The sequence below is a fragment of the Homo sapiens genome, chromosome 22 (genome assembly GCF_000001405.40).
Source record: "Homo sapiens chromosome 22, GRCh38.p14 Primary Assembly".
NCBI classification, from domain to species: domain Eukaryota; kingdom Metazoa; phylum Chordata; class Mammalia; order Primates; family Hominidae; genus Homo; species Homo sapiens.
Window position 1 is genome coordinate 30,843,160 of NC_000022.11, and position 21,376 is coordinate 30,864,535.

A 21,376-nucleotide genomic window follows, 5' to 3' on the forward strand; every position below is an offset into this window, starting at 1 on the left:
CCTCCACTGAAGTCTTGAACCCCTCAAAGTCATCCTGGAGGGTTGGAATCAACTTCTTCCAAACTTCTGTTAATGTTGATATTTTGACCTCCTCCCATGAATCACCAATGTTCTTAATGGTGTCTAAGAGAGTGAATCATTTCCAGAGACCCCATTGGTGGCAAATTCGTAGACGCCCTGAAGCCAGGCTCCCACATTGTCCAGTATTTTGCAAGCTTCATTTGCCAAACTGGCAGTGCTCCCAGGGACCCTGCTGGAAGCCACAGTACGTTTTCAGGAATCTTTCCCCCCTCCCCCTTGAGCAATAGGTCCTGACAGTGGGCTTAAAATATTCCATAAGCCACACTATAAACAGGTGTGCTGTCATTCAGGCTTCATTGTTCCATTTATAGAGCATAGGCCGAATAAATTTAGAATAATTCAGCCAGGAACTGTAGCTCATGCCTGTAATCCCAGCACTGTGGGAGGCCAAGGAGGGCAGATCACTTGAGCTCAGGAGTTTAAGACCAGCCTGGGCAACATAGTGAAACCCCATCTCTACCAAAATAAAAAATAAAAATCAGCCCAGCATGGTGGTGTGTGCCTGTAGTCCCAGCTACTTGGAAGGCTGAGGTGGGAGGATCAGTTGAGCCCAGGAGTTGGAGGTTGCAGTGAGCCAGGATCGTGCCACTGCACTCCAGCCTGGGTAATAGAGTGAGACCCTGTCTCAAACAATTTTTTTTTTTTTTTTTTGAGACAAGATCTTACTCTGTCACCCAGGCCGGAGTGCAGTGGAGGGATCACAGCTCACTGGAGACTTCACCTTCCTGGGCTCAGGTGATCTTCCTACCTCAACCTCCCGAGTAGCTGGGACCACAGGTGTACACCAACATGCCCAGCTTACTTTTGTATTTTTTGTAGACACAGAGTTTTACTGTGTCACCCAGGCTGGTCTCGAACTCCTGTGCTCAAGCAATCTGCTCGCTTTGGCCTCCCAAAGTGGTAGGATTACAAGCATGAGCCACCGCGCCTGGCCAAATTTAGCATAATTCTTAAGGGCCCTAGGGTCTTTGGAATGGTAAATGAATATTAGCTTCAACTTAAAGTCACCAGCCGCATTGTCCCCTAAGAAGAGCCAACCTGTCCTTTGAAGTCAGGCGTTGACTTCTCCTCTGTAGCTATGAAAGCCCTAGATGACATCTTCTTCCAACAGAAGACTGTTTCATCTACATTGAAACCCTGTTGTGTAATGTAGCCACCTTCATCTATTATCTTAGCTAGATCTTTTGGATAACTTGCTGCAGTTTCTACATCAGCACTTACTGCTTCACCTTGCCCTTTTAGGTCATGGAGATGGCTTATTTCCTTAAACCTCATGAACCAACCTCTACTAGCTTCAGATTTTTCTTCTGCAGTTTCCTCACCTCTGTCAGCCTCCATACAACTGAAGAGAGTTAAGGGCTTGCTCTGGATTAGGTATTGGCTTAAGGGAATGTCATGGCTGGTTTGATCCTCTATCCAGACCACTAAAACTTTCTATCAGCAATAAGACTGTTTCCCTTATCATTTATGTCTTAACTGGAGTAGCAATTTTAATTTCCTTCAAGAACATGTCCTTTGCATTCATAACTTGGCTAATTAGTGCAAGAGGCCTAGGTTTGGGCCTGTCTTAACTTTCAACATGAGTTCCTCACTAAGCTTACTGGTTTTTAGCTTTTGATTTAAAGTGAGAGCCATGCAACTCTTTCTTTCACCTGAACACTTTGAGGCCTTTGTATGGTTATTAATTGGCCTAATTTCAATAATGTTGTGTCTCAGGAAAGGGAGGCTCAAGAAGGAGAGAGATGGGGGAATGGCTGGTCAGTGGAACAGTCAGAACACATACAACATTTATTGATTAAGTCTGCCATCTTATATGGATGTGGTTTGTTGCACTCCAGCAATTACAGCTGTAACATCAAAGATCTCTGATAACAGATCATCATAACAGATATAATAATGAAAAAGTTTAGCCGGGTGCAGTGACTCACACCTGCAATCCCAGTACTCTGGGAGGCCAAGGTGGGCGGATCACCTGAGGTCAGGAGTTTACAGCCAGTATGGCCAACATGGTGAAACCCGTCTCTACCATATATACAAAAACTTAGCCAGGCGTGGTGGTAGGTGCCTGTAATCCCAGGAGGCTGAGGCAGGAGGATTGCTTGATCCTGGGAGGCAGAGGTTGCAGTGAGCTGAGATCGTGCCATTGCACTCCAGCCTGGGCTACAAGAGTGAGACTGCATCTCAGAAATTAAATAAATAAATAAATAAATAAATTGTTATATTGTAAGAATTACCAAAATGTGACACAGAGACATGAAGTGAGCCTATGATGTTGAAGAAATGGCACCAATAGACCTGCTCAATGCAGGGTTGCTACTGACCTTCAATTTGTTTAAAAAAAAAAAAGTGGGGGTGGGGGACGGCCAGGCACGGTGGCTCACACCTGTAATCCCAACACTTTGGGAGGCCGAGGTGAGCAGATCATGAGGTCAGGAGTTCGAGACCAGCCTGGTCAACATGGTGAAATCCCATCTCTACCAAAAATACAAAAATTAGCCAGGTGTGGTGGCACGTGCCTGTAATCCCAGCTACCTGGGAGGCTGAGGCAGAAGAATTGCTTGACCCAGGAGGTGGAGGTTGCAGTGAGCTGAGATCGTGCCACTGCACTCCAGCCTGGGTGACAGAGTGAGACTCTCTCAAAAAAAAAAAAAAAAAAAAGGCAGTATTTGCAAAGCAGAATAAAAGAGGTATGCCTGTATACTGCCTTTATCCATTCATCAGTTGATGGACATTAACTTTGGGCCCATAATGAACAATGCTGCTATGAACATTCATGTGTGAGTTTTTGTGTGGATATATGTTTTCATTTTTCTTGGGTGTATACCTAGGAGTGGGATTGCTGGGTTATATAATGACTGCCCAACTGTTTTCTAAAGTGATCATATCATTTTATTTTATTTTATTTTATCTTACATTATTTTTTTGAGACAGGGTCTCAACTCTGTCACCCAGCTGGAGTGCAGTGGTGTAATCTTGGCTCACTGCAACCTCTGCCTCCCAGGTTCAAGCAATTCTCCTGTCTCAGCCTTTCATGTAGCTGAGATTACAGGCATGCACCACCATGCCTGGCCAATTTTTGTATTTTTAGTAGAGACAGGGTCTCACCATATTGGCCAGGCAGGCTGGTCTTGAACTCCTGACCTCAAGTGATCCACCCGCCTTGGCCTCCCAAAGTGCTGGGATTACAGGTGTGAGCCACCGCACCCAGCCTGATTGTACTATTTACATTCCCACAGTATGAGAGTTCCAATTTTCCCACATCCTTACCAATATTTGTTATTTTCTGCTCTTTTGATAATAGCCATCCTAGTAGGTGGGAAATGCTAGTATCTCACTGTGGGTTTTTTTTTTAATCCCCTTCCCTCCCTCTCACTCTGGTTTTGATTTACATTTCTCTAATAACTAATGACATGAGCATTTTTTCATGTGTTTATTGACCGAAGAAGATATCTGTGTATCTACTTTGGAGAAATGTCTATTCAAATACCATTTTTAAGTTTGGTTATCTTTTATTGATATTTCATCATTGAACCAACATTCATTTCTGGAAGAAACCTCACTTAATATGTGTTATACTTTTTATGTATTGCTGGATTCAATTTGCTAGTACTTTTCTGAGTATTTTTGTGTCTTTGTTCATGCGGTATATTGGTCTGTTGTTTTCTTTTTTTGTGATCTTTGGTTTAGGTCCTTGGTCTGTGTAGAATTGATATTATTTCACTCTTAAATTTTATTTATTTATTTATTTATTTTTTGAGATGGAGTCTTTCTCAATCACCCTGGCTGGAGTACAGTAGCACAATCTTGGCTCACTGCAACTTCCACCTCCCAGGTTCAAATGATCCTCCTGCCTCAGCCTCCTAAGTAGCTGAGATTACAGGCACCTGCCACCATACCCAGATAATTTTTGTATTTTTAGTAGAGATGAGGTTTCACTTTGTTGGCCAGGCTGGTCTCAAACTCCTGAACTCAGGTGATCTTCTTACCTCGGCCTCCCAAAGTGCTGGAATTACAGGCCTGAGGCACCTGCACCCAGGCTCATTCTTTTTTCTTTTTCCCTGAGAGGGAGTCTTGCTGTTCACCCAGGCTGGAGTGCAGTGGCATGACCTCGGCTCACTGGAACATCCACCTCCCAGGTTCAAGCAATTCTTTTGACTCAGCCTCCCGAGCAGCTGGGACTACAGGTGCCCACCACCACGCCTGGCTAATTTTTGTATTTTTTGTAGAGATGGGATTTCACCATGTCGGCCAGGCTGGTCTCGAACTCCTGACCTCGTGATCCACCCGCCTCAGCTTCCCAAAGTGCTGAGATTACAGGTGTGAGCCACCGTGCCCAGCCTAATTCTTAAATATTTGGTAGACTTCTTCACCAAAGCCTTCTGAGCCCTGAGTTTTCTGTTGTAAGATTTTAAACTATAGAATCAATTTCATTAATAGACTCCTCAGGTTTTTTTTATGAGTGAGTTTTGGTATGTTTGTATTTCAAGGCTTTGTTTATTTTGTCTAAGTTGTCAAGTTTGTGAGCAAAAAGTTGCTCATGATATTTCCTTGTTGTTCTTTGTCTGTGAGATCTGTAGTGATTTCCCCTCTTTCATTGCTGATATTAGTCATTTGTATCATTCTTTTTTCGTCCTCAATCTGGCTAGAGGTTTATAGATTTTATTGATATTTTCAAGGAATTGGATTTTTGTTTTATTATTTTTATATACTGTTTTTCTTATACATTCTTTTAAAACACATATACTATAGATACCCTATGAAAAGTAAATAGAATTATAGTATACATACTGTTTTGCTCCTTGATCTTTTTCACTGACTATGTCTTAAAGGTTTTTTCCATATTAGTACACAGAGTTCCATTAGATTCCCTAACAGCTATATAATATTCTGTTATATTCATGTTTCATAGTTTAAATAACCAGTCTCTTTTTGAAGGGCATTTAGGGCGTTTCCAGATGTTTTGCTATTGCAAATAGTGCTTTTAGGATGTTTCATTCTAAAAAGCATCCTAAAAGCTATTGCAAACAGTGCTGAATGTTTCCATCCCAAAAACTGTCCTAAAAGCTATTGCAAACAGTTTTGAAATGTACATTTATATATATCAATATTTGGTCATATGTATATCTGTATGTCTGTAGGATAAATGACTAGAACTGGATCAGTAAATGGTTGTCCTTTTTTTCCTTTTTAAATCAACCTTATTATTATTGAATTTAAATGCAACAAAATGAACTGATTTTAACTGTTCTTTGAGTTTTGACATGTATACACCTGTGTAGCTGCCACCCTAAAAAAGATATAGAACATTTTAATCATCCCCAAAAGTTTTCTCATACCTCTTTGCAGTCAATATCCCCCAACATCTTGCTTTAGATAGCAACTGATCTTTATGCACTATAGTTTTACTTGTTCTAGAATTCCATTGTATGAAATCAAACAATAGGACGTGTGCCCTCTTTCATTCAGTATCATGCTTTTGAGGTTCATCCATGTTATGTGAATATGTAGTTTGTTCGTTTTTATTGCTAACTCGTTTTCCATAGTGTGAATATACCACAATTTTTCATCTGTTAATGGATGTTTGAATAGTTTCAGTTTGGGGCTGCTATGAGCCATAAAACTGCTGTTAACATTTAAAATGCATGTATTTTCATGGACATATGTTTTTATTTCTCTTAGGTATATCTAGAAGTGGAATTATAGGTCATATCATAAGTGTATATTTATCCTTATAAGAAATTGCCAGCTGGGTGCAGTGGCTCATGCCTGTAATCCTAGCACTTTGGGAGGCCAAGGCAGGGGGATCACCTGAGGCCAAAACTTTGAGACCAGCCTGGCCAACATAACAGTACCCCATCTCTACAAAAAAATTTAAAAATTAGCCAGGCATGATGGTGCACGCCTGTAGTCCTAGCTGCTCAGGAGGCTGAGGTGGGAGGATTGCTTGAGCCCAAGGAGATTAAGAGTGTAGTGAGCTATGATCATGCCACTGCACTTCAGCCTGGGCAACAGAGTGAGACCCTATCTCAAAAAAAGAAAAGAAAAGAAAGAATTTAAAGAAAAGACAAAATAAACTGCTACACTTTGTTTTCCAAAGTGATTATACCATTTTACATCCCCACCAGCAAGGTATGAGAATTCAGTTGTCCCGCATCCTGCCAACCTGGAATTGTTGGTCTTTTTAAGTTCACTTCTTCCTGTAGGCATGTAATGGTATCTCATTACGGTTTTAATTTATATTTCTCTAGTTACTAATGATATTGAGCATCTCTTCATGTTCTTATTAGCCATTTGTATGTCTTCTTTTATAAAACACCTTTTCAAATCTTTTGCTTATGGGAGGGTGATGTTTGCCTTATTATGCATTTGTAGAGTTCTTTACATATTGTGAATACAAGTTGTCACGAACATATATTGGGAAAAACTTCTCCTGTGGTTTACCTTTTCATTTTTTAATGGTATCTTTCTGAGATCACATGATTTTAATTTTGATGAAAACTACTTATCAGATGTTTCTATTATGATTAGTCCTTTTTGTGTTCTAAGAAATTTTTGCCTACCTAAAGATAGTGCTATGTTTTCTTCTAGATGTTTTATAGTTTTAACCTTTACATCTAGGTTTATGTTCCATTTTGAATTAGTTTTTGTGTATGGGGTGACATAGTTGTCAAGGTTACTTTTTGCCATATGTATATTTAGTTGTTCAAGTACTATTTTTTTTAAATGAAGCTTCTCCTTCATTGACTTACCTTGACAGCTTTATTGAAATTCAGTTGATCAGGCTGGGCGTGGTGGCTCACACCTGTAATCCCAGCACTTTGGGAGGCCGAGGCGGGTGGATCATTTGAATTCAGGAGTTTAAGTCCAGCCTGGCCAACATGGTGAAACCCCATTCTCTACTAAAAATACAAAAAAATTAGCCGGGCATGGTGCTGTGTGCCTATAGTCCCAGCTACTTGGGAGGCTGAGGCAGGAGAATTGCTTGAAACCCAGGAGGCGGAGGTTGCAGTGAGCTGAGATTGTACTACAGCACTTCAACCTGGGTAACAGAGCTAGACTCTGTCTCAAAAAAAAAAAAAAAAATTCAGTTGATCACATATGTGCATGTCTATTTCTGAACTCTGCTATGTTCCATTATAAGTCCATACTTACGCCAATACTACACTGCCTTGATTATTTTAGTTGTATAGTAAATCATGTTAGTAGGTAATTTAAGTCCTCCAGGTTTGTTCTTGTTTTCCAAAACTGTTTTGGCTATTCTTCATCCTTTGATTTTTGAGACAGCATCTCACTCTGTCACCCAGGCTAGAGTGCAGTGGTGTGATCTCCGCTCACTGCAACCTCCGCCTCCTGGGTTCAAACAATACTCCTGCCTTAGCCTCCCAAGTAACTGGGATTACAGGTGCGTGCCATCATGCCTGGCTAATTTTGTATTTTTAATAGAGGCAGGGTTTCACCATGTTGGCCATGCTGGTCTTGAACTCCTGACCTCAAGTGATCCACCCGCCTGGGCCTCCCAAAATGCTGGGATTACAGGCGTGAGGCACTGCACCCGGCCTGATTTTCTATATAGATTTAAGAATTGGCTTGTCAATTTCAACAAAAAGTCTCCTGGGTTACTGAATGGGATTGCATTGAATCTATACATTAATTGTGGAAAATTGATATTTTAACAATATTTAAGTTTCCAATCCATGAACTTGGTATGTCTCTCCATTTATTTAGGTCTTTAATTTATCTTAGCCATGTGTTGTCTTTCACATATTTTGTTAAACTTATTTGTATTTACTGTTTTTGATGTCATTTTAAATGGTACTATTTTTATTTTATTGTTTTTTTGAGACAGAGTCTCACTCTGTTGGCCAGGCTGGAGTGCAGTGGCATGATCTTGGCTCACTGCAACTTCCTCCTCCCAGGTTCATATAATTCTCCTGCCTCAGCCTCCTGAGTAGCTAGAATTACAGGCATGCGCCACGCATACATGGCTAATTTTTGTATTTTTTTTTTTTAGTAGAGATGGGGTTTTACCATGTTGGCCAGGCTTGTCTCAAGCCCTGACCTCAGATAATCCACCCAAAGGGCTGGGATTACAGGCATAAGCCACCGTCCATGGCCTAAATGGTATTATTTTTAAATGTCATTTTCCAGTTGTTCATTGCTAGTATTTCAGAAAAATGATTGTTATATATTGACCTTTTATTCCACAGTCTTTCTAAATTCACATTTTAGTTCATGTGGCTTTTCTTTAGATTCTTTAGGGCTTTCTAACACAATGTGATCATGTTATCTGTAAGTAAAACCTTTTTCATTTCTTCCTTTCTAACCCATATGCTTTTGGTTTCTTTTTCTTGCCTTATTGCACTGACTGGAACTTCTAATGTAATGTTGAGTAGAAGTGGTAATAGCAGACATGACTTATTATTTCTAATAATAAGTTTTAGGAATTTTATTCCTAAACCAGGAAGTTTATTTCTGGTTTTAGGAATAAGGAAAATTTATTTTAGAGAAAAGAGTTCAACTTTTCATCATTAAGTATGATGATAACTGTAAGATTTTTATAGATGCCTTTTATAATGGTGAGGAAGTTCCTCCTTCTTCCTAGTTTTCTGTTTTTATCCGGAAGGGTTATTGAATTTTCTTAAATGCTTTTTTAGTATTTCTGTTTCTTAAATAATTCTACAGCCAGAAACTTTTTCAGTATTTATTGAATTTACATTTTTCTTGATACCATTAATATGAGTTGTATTTCAAACCTTAAACCTTGCACGCCTGAGATAAACCCCACTTGTCCATAATGTGTTATCCTTTTTTGCTGATTTCCATTTGCTAATATTTTGTCAAGGAAATTTGCATCCATAGTCATAAGGGTTTAGGGGCTTGTAGTTTTTCTTGTGATGTCTTTCTGCTTTTGCTTTCAGTGTGATATTGGCCTCATAGGATGATTGTGAATTGTTTCTACCCCCTATTTTCTGAAAAACTTTGGGTAAGAAGTGTATTATTTCTTCCTTAAACATTTGGTAGAATTTGCCAGGGCCACCATTTGGACCTGAGTTTTCTCTGAGGAAAAGATTTTTAAATTGAGTTTCTTTATAAAGGGCTTATCTGATTTTTATTTCTTGTGTCATTTTTGGTAATTGGTTCTTTCAAGGAAGTTTCCTTTTAATCAAAGGTGTTGAATTTATTGGTGTAACTTTTTTTGTAATATCCTTATAATATCCTTTAATGTCAACAGGATCAATAATAATGTTCCTTCTTTCATTTCTATCATTGATAATTTGTATTTTTTTTTATTTCTTGACTGCCCTAGCTAGAGATTTATCAATTTTATTGATCTTTTCAAAGAAAAGCTTCTCAAAGCCTTTAGTTTAACTTTCTAAATTCTGTTTTTATTTTGTTTATTTCTGCTTTTATCTCTATTTTATTCTACTCACTTTGAATATAATTTACTCCTCTTTTTCTAGCTTCTTAATGTAGAGGCTTGGATTATTAACTTTAAATCTTTCTTCTTTTCCAAAAATAATATATAAAGCTATGAATTTTCCTCCAGGCACTACCTTAGCTTCATTCCACACATTTCGATATGTTGTATTTTTTTATCTTTCATTTCAGAATGTTTTCTAATTTCCAGTTATTCAACCCATTGGCTATTGAAAAGTGTCTGGCTTAATTTCCATATATTCGGGGTTTTTTTCCAGATATATTTTTGTTATTGTTGTCTAATGTACTTCTTTCATATCCAGAGGAGATACTCTTTATCGTTTAAAATTTGAGAGTTGGTTTATGGCCCAGCATACATTCTGTCTTGGTGAATGTTTCATGTATTGTTGAAAAGAATGTGTGTTCTGCCATCGTAGGATGTAGAGTTCTGTAAATGTCAATTAGGTCAATTCAGTTGATAAAGGAGACTTGAAGATTGATGTGTTCTAAATCCATACTAGTTTTATCTACTTCTATCAGCTGTATTGTATTATCGTATTGAAACCACTAACTATGTTAGATTTGTCTTTCTCCTCTTATTTCTGTTTTTGCTTCATGTACCTTTAAGCTCTGTCACGAGGCACGTGCACATCCAGGAGTTTGTGTTATCTTGATGAACTGACTCTTTCATCATAATGAAATTTCCATCTTTATCTCTGTCCAAAAGTTTGCTTTCTAAAGTTAAATCTCTTGTGAGTGCTGTTTGCATGGTGTTTCTTTTCCCAATCTTTTACTTTTACCCTATTTGTATCATTATATTTAAAGTGTATTTCTTACAGAAAACATATGATTGGTTATTTTATCTATTTTTTAATATTTAAAGGAGTTTTATTCTTGTTAACATATAATGAATCTTCCTTTTTTTATCCAGCCTGATAAAGTCTCTGACTTTTAATTGAAGTGCTGAGACGATTTTAATATAACGTAATTATTAAATCTATTTTGCTGTTTTTTCTCATCTACTTTTCACTTTTTTCCTCCATTCCTGTTGTTTTTAGTGTTAAATTTTTTTTCTTCTACTAGCTCATAAGCTATTCACCTCTTTTTTCTTTCTTTCTTTTTTTTTTTTGAGACAGAGTCTCGCTCTGTCCCCCAGGCTGGAGTGCAATGGTGCCATCTCAGCTCTGCCTCCTCGGGGTTCAAGCGATTCTCCCGCCTCAGCTTCCTGAGTAGCTGGGATTACAGGCGCCCGCCACCATGCCCGGCTAATTTTTTGTATCTTTAGTAGAGACGGGGTTTCACCGTGTTAGCCAGGATGGTCTCGATCTCCTGACCTCATCATCCGCCCACCTCGGCCTCCTAAAGTGCAGGGATTACAGGTGTGAGCCACTGCGCCAGGCCTCACCTCTCTTTTCTTAGTGGTTGTTCTAGGGTTTACAGTACGCATTTTTAACTTACGGCAGTCTCCTTCCAAATAATTCACCACTTCAGCTGAAACCTAAGAAATTTACAACAGTGTACTTCTGTTGTCTGTGCTGTGTCCTGTTTTGCTGTGTCATTGTGTGTGCTGTGTCCTGTTTTACACATGATGGATGTAACCCTACAATACACTTTGTTTTCTCTTTGTTTTCTTGCTTTATACAGTTATCTTTTTTTTTTTTTTTTTTTTGAGACAGGGTCTCACTCTGTTGCCCAGGCTGGAGTGCAGTGGCATGATCTTGGCTCACTGCAACCTCCACCTCCCAGGTTCAAGTGATTCTCCTGCCTCAGCCTCCCAAGTAGCTGGAATTACAGGCACGCACGACCATGCCCGGCTAATTTTTGAATTTTTAGTAGAGATAGGACTTCACCATGTTGGCCAGGGTGGCCTCAAACTCCTGATCTCAGGTAATCCACCCGCCTCAGCCTCCCAAAGTGCTGGGATTACAGGTGTGAGCCAACACACCCGCCCTATATGGTTATCTTTAAGTAACATTTAAAGTGAAAAAAAAAAAAAAAGCACCTTTTATATTTACTCACATATTTATCTTTCTTCTTGCCTTTGTCTGGATTTGAGCTTTTATTTGGTATGCTTTTCTTTCAGCTTGAAGAACTTCCTTTAACATCTCTTATGGAGTAAGTGTACTTGTCTGTTCTCACGCTGCTAATAAAGACATACCCAAGACTGGATAATTTATAAAGGAAAGAGGTTTAGTTGACTCACAGTTCAGCATGGCTGGGGAGGCCTCAAGAAACTTACAGTCGTGGTGGAAGGGGAAGCAAACATGTCCTTCTTCACATGGCAGCAGCAAGGAGAACAGAGCGAAGTTGGGTGAAAGCCAACTTATAAAACCATCAGATCGCGTGGGAACTGTCACAAGAACAGTATGGGGGAAACTGCTTGCATGATTCAGTTATCTCTACCTGGCCCCTCCCACGACATGTGGGGATTATGGGAACTACAATTCAGAATGAGATTTGGGTGGGGACACAGCCAAACCATATGAGTAGGTCAAGTGACAACAAATTCTCACAGGTTTTACTTGTCTGAAAATATCTTTTTCCCCTTCATTTTGGAAGGGGCTTCTAACAGGCTATATAGTTCTAGGCTTTTTTCTTTCAGCAGAGTGAAGATGCTGTTCCTTTGTCTTTTGGCTTACATGCCCTACTGCCCTGGCCCATTCCTTCTCAATCCCAGAGCCAAAGCTGCCCACCAGATGACTGTGGGCCGGCACCTTTGCCTCACAGAACCTTAGCACCCTTGATGTTAAAGGGGGCCAGAAGGAGAGCCCACAGCACAGGCGTGTGGTTGCCCCAGGGGGACTGTCTTGCCAAATGCTTAATGAACGGTAAAGTGATTCTGTGCTGTCAGCAAGAATGGTAGCTGTTGCTGGTGCTGCACAGGTCTCTGTCTTCAAGACCTGCTCTAAGAAAAGGGGCCTTTTATTCCAAGGCCCCAAGGCCCTCTGGTCCTAAGCAGCCTTTGATATTCCTCAGCACAGCCCTTCAAAGCCTCATGGCCCCCACTACATGCTAATCAGAGCCTGTCTCTTCTAGCGCTAGTAGGCCTGGGGCAAGGACACCAGAAAGTTCGCAGCCACAGGGTGACCTATTTAAGAGGAGCCCCATCCAGGCCATTATTGAGTTAATCTGAAATAGGTCTTAGGTGGAAACTTGGCCCAAAGTTGTTGGACCTCTGCAGACTGGTTGTAATTCAAGCCTGCCTGACTGGGAGAGTTCAGATTTTGCCAGATCATTTTCAGCCATCGTCACAGACTGCATGGCATGTGCATTGTTGGGTATGTCCAGGTTTCTTCCTCATCCCTGCAGGCTATGTGAGGGGCCCCTGGGGAGTTGAGAGGAAGGTCCCAGCTAGGCTCTGGGGACCTGGCATTGGTTGGGCTTTGAGGAGCCTCCTGTGGGCTCAGGGATCAGCTGTTGAGTAGTGGGGTCCTGAGGACTGGGGTAGAAAAACCTGCTGGCATGGCCTGAGGTGGGCAGGTGGCCCCCACTCTAGCCCTGCTCTGAGATAAGGATCTTCTTTTCCTTCTTTGCCTCCTACCCCTATACCCCTTCACCCCTCCATCTCTCCATTTCTGCCCCTTTTCCCTCCCTTGGCTTCACTGTGGTCTTTACCTCTACCATGCCTCCACACCAGAAGGTTCCTGAGTCAGAATGTTCTGCCCGAGCACCAGCTCTTAGTCACTGAGACTTGGCAGTTGGAAACAGAGCCCTTCTTTTTTTTTTTTTTTTTTTTTTTTTTTTTTGGAGACAGGGTCTTGCTCTGTAGCCCAGGTTGGAGTGCAGTGGCATGATGTCAGCTCACTGAAACCTCTACCTCCCAGATTCAAGCAATTCTCCTGCCTCAGCCTCCTGAGTAGCTGGGACTACAGGCATGCGCCACCATGCCTGACTAATTTTTGTATTTTTAGTAGAGACGGGATTTTGCCACGTTGGTCAGGCTGGTCTCGAACTCCTGACCTCAAGTGATCCGCCTGCCGTGGCCTCCCAAAGTGCTGAGATTACAGGCATGAGCCACCATGCCCAGCCAAGAGCCCTTCATTTTTGAGGAACAATTATTCACCTTTAGGTTTTTGAAAAATACCATCACATCTTGGAATTTCTCATTTTCATTTCTTTTAGAAAAAAAAAAAAAATTATGAATTTATAGTAAGAAATGTAACTGCCAAGAACCCAGAGAATGAAGCCTACTGGCCCCTTAGGAAGCAGCTGTCCTCCCCAGGTGGCTGAGCGGAGGTGGCCCAAGCAAGGGGCTGTCAGGCTGGGGGTGACATTCTGCATTTTCTCCCTCTCGAGGAAAGGGACTGGCTTAAGTCCCACCTCATTTGTCTTTGGCCACTCTCCTCTTAAGCAACTTCCTTCCTGAATGTGGACCTTTCTGGAGCCTCATTATTTTGAGATTGATTTTTCTCCTTTGCAAAAACTGCTTGGAGAGCTTTTCACCAAGGCATGCCTTGGAAGCTACCAGCCGACGGTAGTGACTGCAGCAGCCCCCCTGGCAGGGACCCTCTAAGCGATGGGGGTGACTGCCCCCACTCAGTCCAGCAGGCATGTGGGTGCAGGAGGTGGGATGAGGGAGGCAATGATGGGCCTGGAGGGCTAGTGCTTGTGTTAGCAGCTGGGGCCTTGTTTACAGAGAAATGTGGGCTTGTTCCCTGGGAGCTCCTCCTTTTACAGGAGCAAACACCGAGGCCCAGGGGAGGGCACCTGTGTGAAGTTACACAGCCGACTGGTGGACAGATGGACGCTTTAAGCTGAGAACCCCATTCTCTGCAGCGCATTTGGGTGGGCCGGAAATAGTCGCGACCGATATGGGACAGGTTGGCCGAGGTTATCTTGGGGAGAATCACTGGAGATTGTTTCTTTGCTACTTTGTGCTTTGCTTTTCTCTACAGAGCATTTTTATTTTTCTACCTCGAACATGGGTCCATTTTATAGCCAAGTAATAATGGCCAATGCTTGTAGCCTCCTCATTGCGGGCCAGCCACTGTGTTAAGCACTTTACAGGCATTAACCCATTTTGTAGATGAAGACTGAAGGTTAAGATGTTACGTAATGACTGTGCATGGGGTGGGAGATAAGGTGGGACTCCCAGGTCTGCTTGAGTCATGAAAGGGAAAGGCATCTCTTACTCGGAGTAAACTAAGGAGGCCCCCTCATCCCCTATTCATTTAAGACACATGAATCTGCCTGTGTGGAGTAAGAGGTTTCCCCTCAGCAGGCACTGTGGGTCTCTTCCGTGCTCTCTGCAGAACTCGGCCAACCCAGCCTGTCAGTAAATGTCGCTGAAGGGCCTCCTGGAACACCTGCCCACTACACTGCAGACAGAAGAGGCGGGAGGGTGTCCGGAGAAAGTATGCCGGGGGAAAGAGAGGATCTTTGCAGGCACTGCGCAGCTAGGCCTCGCCAAGGGGGACCAATCATGGGGAGAATCACAAGATAATCAGGTTGTGATTCACTTTGTTTTTTTTTTGTTTGTTTGTTTGTTTGTTTGTTTTTTGAGACGGAGTCTCGCTCTGTCGCCCAGGCCGGACTGCGGACTGCAGTGGCGCAATCTCGGCTCACTGCAAGCTCCGCTTCCCGGGTTCACGCCATTCTCCTGCCTCAGCCTCCCCAGTAGCTGGGACTACAGGCGCCCGCCACCGCGCCCGGCTAATTTTTTGTATTTTTAGTAGAGACGGGGTTTCACCTTGTTAGCCAGGATGGTCTCGATCTCCTGACCTCATGATCCACCCACCTCGGCCTCCCAAAGTGCTGGGATTACAGGTGTGAGCCACCGCGCCCGGCCTCACTTTGTTTTTTATTCCTTTATTAGCTCAAGAGGCAGGGGCAGCAGAAAGAAAAACTCAAAACCTGGACTCTTCCTAACCCCACAGCACCCTAATCCTCTTCATGGCAAATACCTACACACTACCTTACAGTTTATAAAACCCTTTCCTGGCCAGGGACGGTGGCTCACACCTGTAATCCCAGTACTTTGGGAGGCTGAGGCGGGCAAATCACCTGAGGTCAGGAGTTCAAGACCAGCCTGGCCAGCATGGTAAAACCCCGTCTCTACTAAAAATACAAAAATTAGCCAGGTGTGGTGGTGGATGCTTGTAATCCCAGCTACTCAGGAGGCTGAGGCAGGAGAACTGCTTGAACCCGGGAGATGGAGGTTGCAGTGAGCCAATGTCGTACCACTGCACTCCAGGCTGGGTGACAAGAGCGAGACTCTGTCTCAATAATAATAATAATAATAATAATAATAATAATAAAAGCATTCCCATTCTGATATTTCTCGTGCCATCCATTCATTCAATAGGTTCCTATTTAGTACCTCCCACGCACCCAGCTCCAGGCTGTGAGCGTCAACCAGGCAGATGCAGCCCCTACCCCTTCAGGGCCCCATGGTTCCTAGTGGCGGAACCCTTTCCCCGCCAGGGCCCTCTGTCTCAGCTTGCGCTCCAGCATTGATACCTAGAGGCAGCCGCGTGTGGAAAATGGTTTAGTATGATTACCGGGGCATCAGATGATTTCCAAGGAGAAGCCGCGCTGGCTGTCTCCAGGCCAGGAAAGTGTCATCCCATCCCAGTAGTTTCCAGTGACCTGCTCAACAGTCCTGGCACCGTCCGAGATCAGTGGCTTCTCCAGTGTGGGTCACCAAATACTCACCTTAGAACAAAGTCCCTCTTGCTCTGGCCTTGAGACAGGTGTTTGCATTGTGTCAAAGGAAATGCTCACATAGGTGGGTCTCTTCCTTGTCCACTAAAGGATCCCCCTCACTGGTCAGGGATTGCTGACCCCACAACCATCAGCAGGGTGACCAGGTCTGCTGGTGCCTGGTGACTGGCTGGGAGAAGCTAGGCACCAGGCCGTGTGGCGAGCCCGTTGGTAGGGCCAGTGGTTTCAGGGGAGCTGTGCTAGGAGTTGGGCCAAGGGCAGCACCCTTCCACATGCCAACGAGGGCTGAAAAAAGGGCCTTCCTCCACAGCCCAAAGAGCTGGTGCCATGGGAGGACATGGCCTATAACCAGGTGTAATATGGGGCAGCCGCTAACAAGGAACCAAATCGTAGAGACTGGGAAAAGCATGATGGGCCGGATGAAAAAGCAAAACACCAAACTGAATTTGTGTTATGTGGACAAAGGCTAGACTTCAATGTGGAACAAAGGAAAGTTTAATTTCCCGAGATGTCAGGACCCTGGGAGAGCTTTTTTCCTCTCCTTTGGTTACCCAGGAGGCAGCACGGAGCACTGGAGAGGGAGCCCTGGAGCCAGGATGCCTGGCCGCCGCCCCCGGCCCCTCTCTGCAGAGCTAGGAGGCAGCACCCAGGCCATGAGGGACAAATGTGGAGCAAGGGATGGAGCTGGAACTTGCTATTATGGGACGTTAAAGCTGGCAGGACCTGAGGTAGCATCTAACCCAGTGGTTCTTACCTTGGCTACAGCACTAAAGGCTCCTAGAGAATCTGTTTCACCATATTGATGCTTGAATCTTAAATTCAGCTGATTAGTTAAAAAAATAAAAAAAAATACCAATATCCTTCCTACCCCCAAGTTACCAGTCAGTCCCATCGCCCAGGATGCTTGAGCCTTCAGGCAGGAGTTTCTGATTGTATCTCGGAGCAGGCAGTGGGCAGGCAGATGGGTGGGTTGGGGTTTAGAGTGAGCCCTAGACAAGAGGAGGCTCTTGTCTAGAAACCAGCCAACTTGGGAGGCTAGGGCCTTGACAAGAAGCAGGTGGGTCCCTGGTCTTAACCACAGGGGATCAGAGGAGGAAGAGGGAGCCTGAGTGCTTCAGCTGAGCCCCTTCCATGCTGTCAAACAGGGCTCAGGGGAGAAGCTGAGCATCTTGCCAGGCTCACTTCGCGCCAGAGGAGGGGGCTGCAGCCCCATGGGCAGATTCCTGGGCCCAGCTGGCATGGGGTCTGTCCTTCATGCATCTGCCAGGCTGGGCTCAAGAACAGCCCTGTGGAAGTCCTGGCCTGGGCAGCCACCCCTCTACCTTGGGGTGAAACTCAAACCTACACAGGGTGAGTGAGTGAGCCCACCACAGAGCTGGATCTAGGGCAGGCACCCTCATTCCTTCGAGGCAACCCTGTGGGAACCCTGGTAGGGTGGAGGCTGTGGGTAGGCTGGGTGTTCTGCCGGCTGGAGGAAGCTGTGGGCAGCAGGCCATCTTTAGCATCATGGCGGTTGCCAGAATTGGAGCAGGCACCACTATTTTGTGCTCCATTTCTGTGCCTGTGTGACTTTCCTGAAGTGGGCCTGGCTGCCCGGTGCTGTCCATCATCCCCAGGACAGCCGAGCGAAGTATGCAGCTCTAGGTCACAGCCCTCTTCTGAGTGAGGAGGCGCCCTAGCTTGTCTCATGTGCCTCTATTGTTCACCCCTCGTTTTGGTTCATGACTTTGACCATGTGCCCTGGTTCCCCCAGTGAAAGGGAAGGAGGGGAGTTTCTTTGTCCTCTGGGATTTGTGCTTGTCGATCTCTCTAGCCGGCCCGGGGGTATTGGGAAGTGATTTCCCCTGAGAAGTCATAAGACTCAGCCCCACAGAGACCAGCCTACAGATTGATGTTTATTGATGGAGTTTCTGCCACAGCAGCTCCAGTGAAATGGAAGCAAAGCCTGATATTTATATGGCGGGCCTGGGTGCCCCATCCCACAGGCCCCACCCTGGCCTTGGTAATAGGTGTCCCTGGTAGGGCGGAAGCCCTGCACCCCTCGCCTGGAGAAGTTGTCAGAGAGCCCAGATGTGGTCTCCTCAGCTTCCTGCAATGCCCCAGGCACACTTAGCACTCGCTGCAGCAGGAGATGAGGAGAGAGGGGCCTACGGAGAGGCCCCGAGAACTGAGATGACACTGGCGCTCTGGCTTGGGTTTTCCATCTGCCTGCCAGAGTTTCGTGATTTATTATTTATTATTATCTGATTTTCCATCAGATTAGATCCTGACGTGCCTTCCAGCGTCCTCAGGTTGAACGTCTCGGAGTCTTCAGCCGCCTGCCTCTTGTAGAGGAGTGGCGTCACTTGTCTGGTTACCCAGGGGTCTTTATTTTTAATGATCCCTTTTGTGGCAGAACCCCCACAGGGCCCACTTTGGGTAAGGCAGATCTGTTATCTTTCTGGGTTCCCCAATCAGGAAGGACTGGCTGTGCCTCAGGGGCGCTGCTCCTGCTCCCAGGGGCCCTCGCCGCTTCTATCTCCCACTTGCAGCTTCAGGGGGGCTCAGGGTCCGAGCGCTGGCCCGTTCCACCTCTGTCCTGGGGCTCCTGCCCCTTCCTCTCCCTGGAGCGGCATCTTCCTCCCGTGCCACCTGCCACTAAGTCACCATCCTGCACCAGCTGTAAAGCTGCCACCTCATCCCAAAAGCCTTCTCAGAGCCCTACCTGCAGCCTAAAGTCATCTCCCAACTCTCACCCAGTGGCTCCTGTGTGACCCCTCCTGTGTCTGGTCAGAGGCTCCCTGTTCTTTTGGAAGCTCGCCGAAGACCTCGCAGACTCTCCTTCTCCATTGCCTGAGTGGGCAGAGCGTTGGCAGCCCTAGCCTGGAGGGGCTGGGTCCTCCTCTAGTGCCACTCCAAGGCAGGGCTTCCGCTCCCCGCCTGCCCCCTCTAGGCCAGGTTGGAGGGCAGCAGCAGGGCAGGCTGGGCAGGGGGCCCACCTGGTCCCACAGCCCCTGGCCTAGCAGGCTGCTGTGGTCTCTTGGCCTCCAGGGCCATGGGGGTGGCAGGTGCCACTAGGCTGTCGGTAAAGATCAGCAGGCCAGGCACAGTGGCTCAAGCCTGTAATCCTAGCACTTTGGGAGGGTGAGGCAGGCAGATCGCCTGAGGTCAGGAGTTCAAGACCAGCCTGGCCAATATGGTTAAACCCTGTCTCTACTAAAAATTCAAAAATTAGCTGGGCCTGGTGGCACATGCCTGTAATCTCAGCTACTGGGGAGGCTGAGGCAGGAGACTCACTTGAACCTGGGAGGTGGAGGTTGCAGTGAGCCGAGATCGTGCCACTGTACTCCAACCTGGGTGAGAGAGTGAGATTCCATCTCAAAGAAAAAAAAGGCTAGGCGCGGTGGCTTGTGCCTGTAATCCCAGCACTTTGGGAGGCTAAGGTGGGTGGATCACAAGGTCAGGCGTTCCTGACCAGCCTGGCCAACATAGTGAAACCCCGTCTCTACTAAAAATACAAAAAGTTAGCCAGGTGTGGTGGCGGGCGCCTGTAATCCCAGCTACTCGGGAGGCTGAGGCAGGAGAATTGCTTGAACCTGGTAGGCGGAGGTTGCAATGAGCCGAGATTTTGCCACTGCACTCCAGCCCGGGTGACTCTGTCTCAAAAAAAAAAAAAAGAAAAAAAGAAAAAATAATCAACAGACTTGGGGTCTTGGGCAGGCTCCTAACTCTTCATGCCACACCCTTTCCTCTTCTGGGGGTGACACTTGCAGAATACCATGTAACATGTGGAAACCACCCAACAGCTGGAAGTGCAGAGGAGGCAGTCACCCAGCAACTGGGCTGTTCGTTCTCAAACACGGTGACGTTGCTTGATATCCCCCAGACTCCCACCCCAAGCCTTTCTCTCTGTTATCAGCATCTGGCCGATTGGATTTTGTGATCAGGCTCAGGCAGCTTAACAGCCCTCCCAAATCTAAATCAAAGTCACCAAAGCTGCTGTAATTGAATGTTGGAGGCGCCAACCACACGGGCTGGGAATGGCTGTTTTCTGGCGAGGGTGCAGTTTTCTGGCGAGGGTGCAGCGCCCCCGCAGTCCTCACTGGAAACCAATGACACCACTGCGCTGTTTCTCCTCAGAGCCCCCACGTGGGGGTGGAATGTCTTTTTGCATAGCCAGACTGTGACAAAATAGGATGCATGCCCTGCTTAAAGTCGGTAGTGCTCAAGATGCAATGAATGCCCTGCTCTGGGGGTCTGGAGCCTTGTGATGGGAGTCCCAGAGAGCAGTGACCGCTTGAGGACAAGGTCATGGGCTGGAAAGTTGCCAGGGCTCGGGGACTAGGCCTTGCCCATTCCCAGTCCTGCATACTTGAACTTCGCTCTGCAGAGAGGGGAGGGACAGCAGTGCCTGTCTCCATTAATCACACTGTGGGCCCGAGGGAGGTCCACTGGTCAGAGCGAATCCTGCTGGTGACTGACAGTTGGATATCAGCCTCCGACACAGCAGCCCCTATACTGCACTGATGCAGGCATGCCTGCTGTGGGGAGTGGGGAGCAGCGCGAGGCTTCTCTTTCTTTGCTCCCCTCAGGGCCCTGCCTGGTCTGTGGACATGCAGGAAATAAGCAAGTTCTGAGCCATGTTCTCAAAGAAGCCATCATGTTTTTTTTTTGTTGTTTTTTTTTTTTGAAACGGAGTCTGACTCTGTCGCCCAGGCTGGAGTGCAGTGGCACAATCTCAGCTTGCTACAACCTCCGCCTCCCAGGTTCAAGCAATTCTCCTGCCTCAGCCTCTCGAGTAGCTGGGATTACAGGTGCCCACCACCATGCCCAGCTAATTTTTTGTATTTTTAGTAGAAATGGGGTTTCACCATATTGGCCAGGCTGGTCTCAAACTCCTGACCTCAGGTGATCCGCCCACCGCAGCCTCCCAAAGTGCTGGGATTACATCACATTCTTTTAAATATTTGGATACCTCAAATGTGACTCCAGTTAGCCAGAGGCTGGTGAACGGGCCCAGTGCTGGGGAGCCCAAAGGAGGGAGCCTGAGGGCCCCAGGCACTGTACCATTGAAGTGACCCACAATGGGGCTCTGGCAGAGGAGGAAAGAAAGAAATCCCGCAATGCGTGTGTGCGGCGTGGCTCAGGAGTGGGAAAGTGCCCAAGGCAGCACGAAGGGTGCAGGGTCTCTGCATGCAGCACTGGGATGGGCTGAAGAACCAGGAAGGAGAAAGGA

General features: G+C 45.6%; 1 protein-coding gene across 5 annotated transcripts in view, besides 2 other annotated features; it reads left to right on the forward strand.

The window, feature by feature from the left end:
- Positions 1 to 21,376, forward strand: part of OSBP2 (oxysterol binding protein 2) — a 214,032-nt gene that overhangs the window by 149,378 nt on the left and 43,278 nt on the right. The window lies entirely within an intron of this gene.
- Positions 19,912 to 20,412: an enhancer, noted in NCBI's record as "H3K4me1 hESC enhancer chr22:31259058-31259558 (GRCh37/hg19 assembly coordinates)". NCBI's record gives its function as "activates a minimal SCP1, AML or CMV promoter by ChIP-STARR-seq in naive H9 embryonic stem cells {active_cell/tissue: H9 hESC(naive)}" and the evidence as "EXISTENCE:reporter gene assay evidence [ECO:0000049][PMID:30033119]".
- Positions 20,413 to 20,913: an enhancer, noted in NCBI's record as "H3K4me1 hESC enhancer chr22:31259559-31260059 (GRCh37/hg19 assembly coordinates)". NCBI's record gives its function as "activates a minimal SCP1, AML or CMV promoter by ChIP-STARR-seq in naive H9 embryonic stem cells {active_cell/tissue: H9 hESC(naive)}" and the evidence as "EXISTENCE:reporter gene assay evidence [ECO:0000049][PMID:30033119]".